The sequence below is a fragment of the Homo sapiens genome, chromosome X (assembly GCF_000001405.40).
Source record: "Homo sapiens chromosome X, GRCh38.p14 Primary Assembly".
Classification (NCBI taxonomy): Eukaryota; Metazoa; Chordata; class Mammalia; order Primates; family Hominidae; genus Homo; species Homo sapiens.
The window spans coordinates 135,862,607-135,872,069 of NC_000023.11; the positions used below are offsets into that span (position 1 = coordinate 135,862,607).

Genomic DNA, 9,463 nt, shown 5'->3' on the forward strand with positions numbered 1-9,463 from the left:
ACATATGTAACAAACCTGCACGTTGTGCACATGTACCCTAAACCTTAAAGTATAATAAAAAAAAAGTACCTGGCACAATTAATATTTGTTGAATAATTGAATGAATTAATTTTTTAAAAAAAAGCATAGAATGGGCTGGGTGCAGTGGCTCATGCCTGTAATCCTAGAACCTTGGGAGGCTGAGATGGGCAGATCACTTGAGGCCAGGTTTCGAGACCAGCCTGGACAACATGGCAAAACCCCATCTCCACTAAAAATACAAAAATTGCAGCGTGATGGCACCTGTGGTGCACCTGTAATCCCAGCTACTTCGAAGGCTGAAGCACAAGGATCGCTTGAACTGGGGTGAGGTCGAGGTGGCAGTGACTTGTGATCGTGTCACCGCACTCTAGCCTGGGCAACAGAGCAAGATTCTGTCTTTAAAAAAAATAAAAAGCATAGAATGTTCAAGTCCTATCTGGAAACAACAGCCTTACAGGGACTGCTACTGCAGCTCCAAATTATTGTATCAGACCAATCCTATCTAGGAACTACCTTTATTATATATATTGGATATACCCCCCCACACACGCATACATATATATATATGGGGGTGTATATATAATATGTGTAATGTGTATTATATGTATAATGGGAGATTAGAAAGTGTGTGTGTGCATGTATATATACCCCCTACCAACACACACACACACACACACACACACACACACACACATTAAAATCTCCCATTAGTTCTGCCTTTTCGTTGAAGGCTGATGATACAGATTTCAACATTGAGATCGGGTTCCCACCACACCAGGGGCTAAGGAAGAGTATGTGTGATATGTCTAGAGAGCTTCTTAGTCCTCCCGTGTTTTTCGATTAGAGTTAATGGAAAATCACAGCAACCCCATCCAGGCAGGATATCTAATGGTTCAGACTCTTCCGTAATGAAGGTTTGAGTCATCCTGCCAGGCCAAGCATCATGACCAACTGACATGCTATCTCAGGGCAAAGGGAATGCGAAACGGGTAGCGAAAGAAGGTAGTTATAAACGCCAGCTACATCAGTGTGAGCTGCTGCAGAAACCACGACTGTAATAGTATTTACCTAATGGGTTAATAATATCTACCAGCACAGGTGGGAATACAAAATAACCAAAACACAAGTTATCCTTTCAAATAAAACGCTTTGGGAAAAAGAACATCTTTTACTAACAGAAATTTCTTAGCCTCTGGAAGGCCAGTTGATTCGGTAACATATGCCAGGAGACTTCAGCAATATCCTGCTCCATTGTAGAAAACAGCAATCTGATCCTTTTCTCTCCTCAATCATTAATGAGATTATGCATTTGGGGTGTGATAATCCTCCAGGGACAAGTATTCTCAAATCATACGTTTCAGTTTCTTCTTAAGGTGCTTAACAAAGTCTCGTCTCATACATCTGAAGAGAAAGAGACATGTCATTAACCAAAAGATAGCCAAAGAACCTATGCTGTAGGAAGCGCTGTGACAGATAGAAAGATGAAGTAACAGTCAGCATGGAAATAGAAATGTATCTGCATGGTAAGAGGCAGTCTAGCCGGCATAGCAAATGCTGGCAAGGGTGTGGAGAAAAGGGAACCCTCATACACTGTTGGTGGGAACATAAATTACTACAACAACTATGAAGAACAGTTTGGAGGTTCCTCAAACAACTAAAAATGGAGCTATCATATGATCCAGCAATCCCACTGCTGGGTATATACCCAAGAGAAAGGAAGTCAGTGTACCGAAGAGATATCTGCACTCCCATGTTTCCTGCACCACCATTCACAGTAGCCAAGATTTGGAAGCAACCTAAGTGTCCACTAACACGTGAATGGGTAAAGAAAATATGGTACATATACACCACAGAGTACTGTTTAGCCATAAAAAAAAGAATGAGATTCAGTCATTTGCAACAACACGGATAGAACCGAAGGTCCTTATGTTAAGTGAAATAAGCCAGGCACAGAAAGACAAACTTCACATGTTCTCACTTATTTTTGGGAGTAAAAGTGTAAAACAACTGAACTAATGGAGATAGAGAGTAGAATGACAGTTACCAGAGGCTACAAAGGTTAGTGGGGGTGGAGGGTGTGGGAAGTGGGGATGATTAATACGTAGAAGTATGGAATAAATAAGATGTCGTATTTCATAGCCCAACAGGGTGACTATAGTCGGTAATAATTTAATTGCACATTTAAAAATAATGAAGAGTATAATTGTATTCTCCCCGTAACGCAAAGGATAAAAGCTTGAGGTGATAGAAACCCCACTTACCTTGATGTGATTATTACACATTGTTGTCTGTATCACAATATCTCATATAGCCCAGAAATATATGCATCTGCTATGTGCCTACACAAATTTTTTAAAAAGAGGTAGTCTAGCAAATACAAAGAGTGTCAATTGAGGGACAATGCGCACCTCAGACTATGGTGAAAATGGAAGTCTCCATAGTCTTCGAAGAATGAGTTAGACTCAGATAACATTAGCCTAAGTAACTGTGGAGACAGCCGTAACTGTGAGTGAGGACCAGGGTTTGAGAAACGCAAGGCAGGGGCTGTTCCCCAACGCTCACCCCCAGTGCTCTATTGAGCCCAAGTGCTTAAAGAAATTGGACAGTTCCTATTTCTACCCACCTTGCTGCTTCCTTGATGATGGATTCAAAAAATCGTTTCCTGACTGCAGTAGGTCCTTGCACTCCTTCAAGCATTTCGAAGATTTTTTCATATTCTGAAGATGTTGAAAAAAAAAAACTTCAGTATTATCAAATATAAAGAAGAATAGAAGTGAATCTACACCTCAGCAATCATGCTTCAGAGGCTGAAATGTTTTAAATGCTTAAATCAAGATACCTGCACATACAAAACCTAAATAATAAAAAAGACACCTGCACATACATACGAATGTAACTCCTTTAACCATAACCAAGTAAGAAAAGAAAAAGAAAAAATGTACATGCTTTAGTCAAAGAAAAGAGGAACCACCATAAATTATGTGCAATCTCAACTCTGGCAAAGAATGAAACTCAACAGGCAACATGAATATCTTCTGAATCATAGAAAGAGAGACTTCCTATAGTTTTATAAAACAGACATTCTTATACTACTTACTTTGTCCAACGCATCGGAGTTCCTTCACTAATTGACGTTTTATATCAGCATTAATTTCTTGTTGGCTTTTGGGAGAGAAGGCTGTTTCTCTGCATTCTAGGTCATCTCCAGAGAAACTGCTGGTAACGTTTCCTCCCACAGGTGCATTGCTACCAGGTTTCTGCATCATCCTATCTTTGCTGAAACCAGTGAAGTCATCAATCTGAGAATCCAATTGGCTGGGTGGAATAGCATGTCCTGTCATAAGCTCTGGTGAAACAGATTTTGAGTAAAAGCCATCAGTTGGTGTTTGACCACTTTCTTTCCCCTCCACATAGACCTCATGAATGACAGCTCTGGAAATCAAACTGAGAAGTTGAGCTGTGAGATATGTGTGTTTCATCACCCCTCTGGGTACATCTATGTGCTCCTCAGTTTCTAGGGAATTATTTATTTAATAAATGGGAGGATACACCAGGGAGAAATCCCAGGCCTGACAAACGGAGGCCAGGACACATAATACAATAAAACCACCTCTTATTTTCTGGCCCTATGAATAGACATGGAAACCAAGTAAGGCAGTACAACTCTAAAGCAACATTCACAGATCCCTGGTACTCATGGGACAGTTTCAGCTTGTTATGCTTTACAAGTTGAAAGCAGCAAGTCTCACTTGATATCATGATTTCTCAAATTCACTTACAAACTGCCATGTTTTACTAAGCTGGAAGCCAGACAACTTGGACACACCTCAACCAGCCTCCTCTCTACATCAAACATATTCTGAGAAAATAGAGGTGGCCATTACTGCTGAAAGTTCTATATGTACTCCATCAACAAAAAATCCCTTTTAGTGTATGATTTTCCTCATCCTTCCTTTCTGTCTCACAAAAGTGACTTTCTTTTCACTCCAGGTCTGACACCTCTCATTTATTCATCGTCTGTGGCAGGCAGTGTGCCGGTAGCTGGGGATCAGCAGTAAACAGCCCAGAGAGCAACGTTCCCTGCCCTTGTGGAGCTCACATCCTCATGGGGCGGTCAGACAGTACGTGCACAATGAGCAAATGAAACATACAGTGTTGGGCTAGTGGTAAGGAAGCAGTCCACAGGCCTGTGGGCAACAGCAGCAGAGGGAGCCCCAGGAGCTGCTGCTGGTTGGGCAGAGCCTTCTGTGGAGGTACCCTTGGGCAGGGCTTGAAGGAAAAAGCAGAGCTGCCTGCGCAGAGGCAGAGGGGGAGTTCCAGGTTGCGGTGAGGCCAAGGATATGGGCTGGAGTGGGGATGGACCGGGCACTACGGGGTGAAGGACAGTAGCAGAGAGGGTCAGGAGATGATGGGGCCCGTGTGAGGAGAGGGTGACGGAGGCCAGGCCACGCAGAACCTCGCAGACCAAAGCTGCTTCGCAGTCGGTTCTGAGTGCTTAGGAGTGTTGAGGATGGGTGTTCAGGAGCGACATGGCATCACGTGATTTACATGCCAACATCATGACCCGGCTGCAGGGTTGGAGGGTATGTGTTTGATGCGGGAAATAATGGGAAACATGGAGGTATCTCAGGAGCTCAGTGATTGATCGTGGCAGAGTGGAATAGAAGGAGAGGGAGAGATGCTGGGGTTCAGGAATTTTTTACAGTATTTAGAGAAGAGAAGAAAAAGAAATGTAGAAAAAAACAATGATGGGGTCGGGGGCGGTGGCTCGTGCGTGTAATCCCAGCACTTTGGGAGGCTGAGGTGGGTGGATCACCTGAGGGGGGGAGTTCCAGACCAGCCTGGCCGACATGGCGAAACCCCATCTCTACTAAACTTACAAAAATTAGCTGGGTGTGGTGGCTGGTGCTTGTAATCCCGCTACTCGGGAGGCTGCGGCAGAAGAATCACTTGAACCCAGGAGACGGAGATTTCAGTGAGCCGAGATCGCGCCACTGCACTCCAGCCTGGCTGAGAAGAGCGAAACTCCATCTCAAGAAAAAAATGATAGGGATTCACCAATACGGACAAGAAATTAAAAAAAAAAAAAGATTGTCGGAAATGGAAATCCTAGAAGGTTTTCATGAAGAAGCGAGTGAACAACTGTCAAATGCTGCTGAGAAGTTAATGGCAATGTCAGCCGAAACTGTTAACCTTGACAAGGACAGTTTCTCTGGAGGGGATGAGGCAGGAGCATGAGGAGGACGTGAGGACAGGCTTACTTACTCTTTTCTTTGGACATGGCAGAGCCTGCAATAAGGCTGTCTCCTGCTCCTTGTTTCCTTGCCAACAGGGCCATCCTCTGCCTTTTCTGATACGAAGGACTGTCACATTCCCTGGGACGTTTAAACACAGTTTCAGGATCTACAGCCACCTTCTCTGTTTTATCGGTCATTGTTTCCTGAAAAACATCAATGAATATATTCTATTCATGACAAAAATCTAACAATCACAAAATGGCAAGCAATCTGCATATGTGTATACAACCAAGACTTTGAATCATTAATTTCACTTTTAATCATGAGCCAAGATTTACCAAGTCTCAACAAACACTCTGTTCTCAGGAAAAGAAACCTAATTTTAATGTACACAAAGTAAAACAGAAGAAAGATGGTATAACCAAATCAATCAGAATGCTTGTGGAATAAGCAGCTGTCATCAACCAAAAATAGATAAAAATATTATTACCTATTTGAAGATGTATAAGCCAATCTGTATTAACCCTTATTAGAAAAAATGGATGTATAAACCAATCTGTATTAACCCTTATTATACATTATATTTTAAATTATATATTATATATCATATATATTTAATATATAAGTATTTATGCTTATATATTCAAATAGATGCATAAACCAACGTGTATTAACCCTTATTAGGAACCCTTATTAGAAGATTGATACAAAACTGATAACAACATCTGACAAGGAATTTAGAAGAATGAAAAACTACAAGATCAAGCCAAAAATACAAGCCAAGATCACCCCGAACTTAGACACAAAAATTCCAAACTAAGGGTGAGCAAATAAAATGTACTAGTACTTAAAAAGGACATACATCAGCCATGGTGGAGTATATTGCAGAAAGGCAACACTGATTTAACATTTGAAAATCGACAAATGTAGTGCACCACATTAACAACAACAACAACAACAACAACAAAAACAGGGAAACACCGCATGATCATTTTCATACATGGATCAATGTTTAAAGTCCATTCGTGATAAAAACTATCACCAACTTAGGAAAAAGGGCAACTTTCCTATTCTGGTTAGCATATGTACAAAAAATTTTTAAATGCCATACTTCATAGTGACGTATCAGTATTTTCTCCCTGAGTTTGAAAACAAGACAAAGATGTCCACTATCCATTCAACAATTTACTGGAGGTTCCAAAAAGTGCCATATCATCAGGAAAATACAATAGGTTTAAAATTTGGAAAGAAATAAAACTGTCATTATTCACAGATGACATTGTTCTGTACATAGAAAAATGCAGAAGAATAAAATCATTACAGTTAATAAGCAAATTTAGTCAACTTACTAGATACAATGAAAACCAATGGCATTTCTGTATAATGAATAGCAATTCTGTATAATGAATGGCATTATACAGAATGGCAATTCTGTATAACGAATAATTAGAATATGAGATTTCAAATGTCATTAAAAACAGTTCCAAAAACATCAAATATTTAGGAATAAATCTAATCAAGATGTGCTAGAGTACTTCACAAAAATTATAAAACATCACTCAGAGAAATTCAAGACTGCAGTAAATGGAGAAAAATATTCTTTCCATGCATTGGAAGACATTACTTTTTTTTTTTTTGAGTCGGAGCCTCGCTCTGTCACCCAGGCTGCAGTGGAGTGGCACAGTCTCTGCTCACTGCAACCTCCACTTCCCAGGTTCAAGCAATTCTCCTGCCTCAGCCTCCTGAGTAGCTGCGATTACGGGCGCCTGCCACGACGCTGGATAAAGAAAATGTGGTACATATACACCACGGAATACTATGCAGCCATAAAAAAGAATGAGTTCATGTCCTTTGAAGGGACATGTGTCAGCAAGCTAACACAGGAACAGAAAACCAAACACCACGTGTCCTCACTCATAAGTGGGAGTTGAACAATGAGAACACATGGGCGCGGGGAGAAGAACATCACACAGTGGGGCCTGTCAGGGGTTGGGGGGCTAGGGGAGGGATAGCATTAGAGAAATACCTAAGGTAGATGACGGGTCAATGGGTGCAGCAAACAACCATGGCATGTGTCTTCCTATGTAACAAACCTGCACGTTCTGCCCATGTATCCCGGAACTTAAAGTATAATTTTAAGAAAAGGAATATTATCGTAATGGCATTGGGTGAGTCAAAGATGTTTCTTAAAATAATAAAAAGCACTATCCATAAATAATACACTAATTAATAAAATTAAGAGAATCTGTTCATCTACAACACATTATTGAGATCGTGTAAAAGCAAAAAAGATTTATAGAAGATACTAAAATTGTATATGTATTTTTGTATATGTACATATACGCCTGTGTGCCTGTGCGTATAACTCAAATACAGAATATATGGAAACTACAAATCCATTTTTAAAATACAAACATCTCAGTAAAAGCTGGGGGAAAATACCTGAAAAGGAACTTCATAAAAGGCATAGTTAAATGACCAATAAACACATAAAATGGTGCTAAAAAAAAAAAAAAAGAAAACAATAAATAGCTGGGTGTGGTGGCACTGCAATCCAGTCTGGGTGACAGAGGGAGACCTCATCTCAAAAGACAAACAAAAATCAATAAATAAAAACAATTTCTTAAAAAGGTGCTCGATCTCATTAATCAGCAGAGAAATGCGAGTGTAGACATAAGGAGAGATCACTGCACACCCATCAGAGTGGCTGGAATGAAAGACTAACTGTACTGCGAGTGTTCGAATGTGGCACAGCTGGAACCTTCGAATATTTCTGGACTCCCATTCCCACACAGACACCTGAGGCTGTGGCTGAAAGGTCAGATAGAATCCCAGGAAAGAGCTCCTTCAGAATTGCGATCAACCAACCGAGGAAAAGCACCCCAACCTGGGTCGAGACAGAGTTCCCAAGGTCACGTGGCCTCCTTCATGGCTGACACAGAGCTCCCTGAGTCCCACCATAGGCTTAGAGAATCCAAGGAACATTACCCCATTCCCCGGCGGCACCGGGAGAGAGCACCTACAGATAATAATTTTAAAAACCCAGCACCAAGAGAAAGCATCCATCCAGTAAGCGTCCACAACGGGGATAAGCAGAACCAAAGAAAAGCCAACACATTGTAACTGAGAGCGAGCAACATCCGAGGACAAATGCGCCTCACGGCCGACATCAGTACCCAAGGAAGAGTCCACCAGAGGTTGAGATAAAGCCCCCGACAGTGACCCCACAGGGCTACGATCATGTGTCCGGGGCACAGCCACCCCCACCACGTTCCATGAGCACAGATAGTGACCCCAGGGCAGAGTCCCCCCTCAGGACAGCGACTGAGCGGGAAAGAAACACCGCCGCACCCGAGACCGACACAGGCAACCAAGGCATGGCCCCCACCCCCCGGGCTCAGGTCATTTCAGCAGGAAAAGTCGCCTTTTCCATCACCGACAGGGAGCCCCCAACAAGAGCCCCCAAGAAAAGCCCCCTGGCCCCACAACATAGCCGAGACGGGGTGCCCAAGGAAAACGCTCCCCCGCGGCTGACACAGGCGCCCATGGCGGTGTCCCCAGAGCTAAGCCACTTCCCCAAGGGAGCCCTCCCACACACCGGACAGAGAACACCACAGAAAAGACTCTTTCTGAGGAAAAAGGACACTTTCCAGGGCGAAATTAAAGCATCCAGGGAAAAACTGCCCACTCACAGTCCTGAAGTCCTGACCTTGCTGGAGGAGAGACGGCGGCACCTCACAAAATGGCAGTGAAGTTGTGGCGCCTCCCCACTGGTGGCACTTTCTAGAAACCTGCCCTCTGGGAGTTGTGGGAAATGTGCCCCCTAGGGCACCTGGGAGTGATGTGCATGGGGAGGCGTCTCACCAGAAGCACCGATCCCGTTTGGCCCAAGGGGGATGGGAGGAAGGGAAGTAGCCAGCCACAGCGTGCCTGCCCCAGCCGAACACTGGGAACCTGTTGGGGGCGCCAGAGTGCTGAGGAGAAGCCTCGTGCCCCAGAGAACCAGGAAGCGCAGCCCTCCCCTTCGCTGACTCTGGCGCCCTCTACAGGCGACCTTCAGTAACAACTGCACAGCAACGTATGCGGAGGAATGCAGAACCTTCTCACCCAGCGGGATGAAATCGCCTGGGTAACATAGTGAGACCCCGGCTCTACAAAGCAACCAACTAATCAAAAAAGAAAGAAAGAAAGAAAGAAAGAAAGAA

At 43.1% G+C, this 9,463-nt stretch overlaps 1 protein-coding gene across 3 annotated transcripts; it reads right to left on the reverse strand.

Moving 5' to 3' along the window:
- Positions 1-811: 811 nt before the first annotated feature.
- Positions 812-9,206, reverse strand: CT45A9 (cancer/testis antigen family 45 member A9). Of its 3 annotated transcripts, none has more exons than NM_001321271.1 (5): positions 9,123-9,206; positions 5,287-5,461; positions 3,119-3,367; positions 2,645-2,738; positions 812-1,422 (listed from the first exon to the last, which is right to left on the reverse strand). In NM_001321271.1, the coding sequence occupies exons 2-5, from the start codon at positions 5,453-5,455 to the stop codon at positions 1,365-1,367; spliced, it is 570 nt and encodes a 189-aa protein (NP_001308200.1). In that variant the 5' UTR covers positions 5,456-5,461; positions 9,123-9,206; the 3' UTR covers positions 812-1,364. The 3 variants fall into 3 exon arrangements, with proteins under 3 accessions (NP_001308200.1, NP_001278469.1, XP_006724859.1); NM_001291540.2 differs by having other exon boundaries at positions 8,968-9,206; XM_006724796.3 differs by lacking the exon at positions 9,123-9,206 and adding an exon at positions 8,951-9,116.
- Positions 9,207-9,463: the final 257 nt, after the last annotated feature.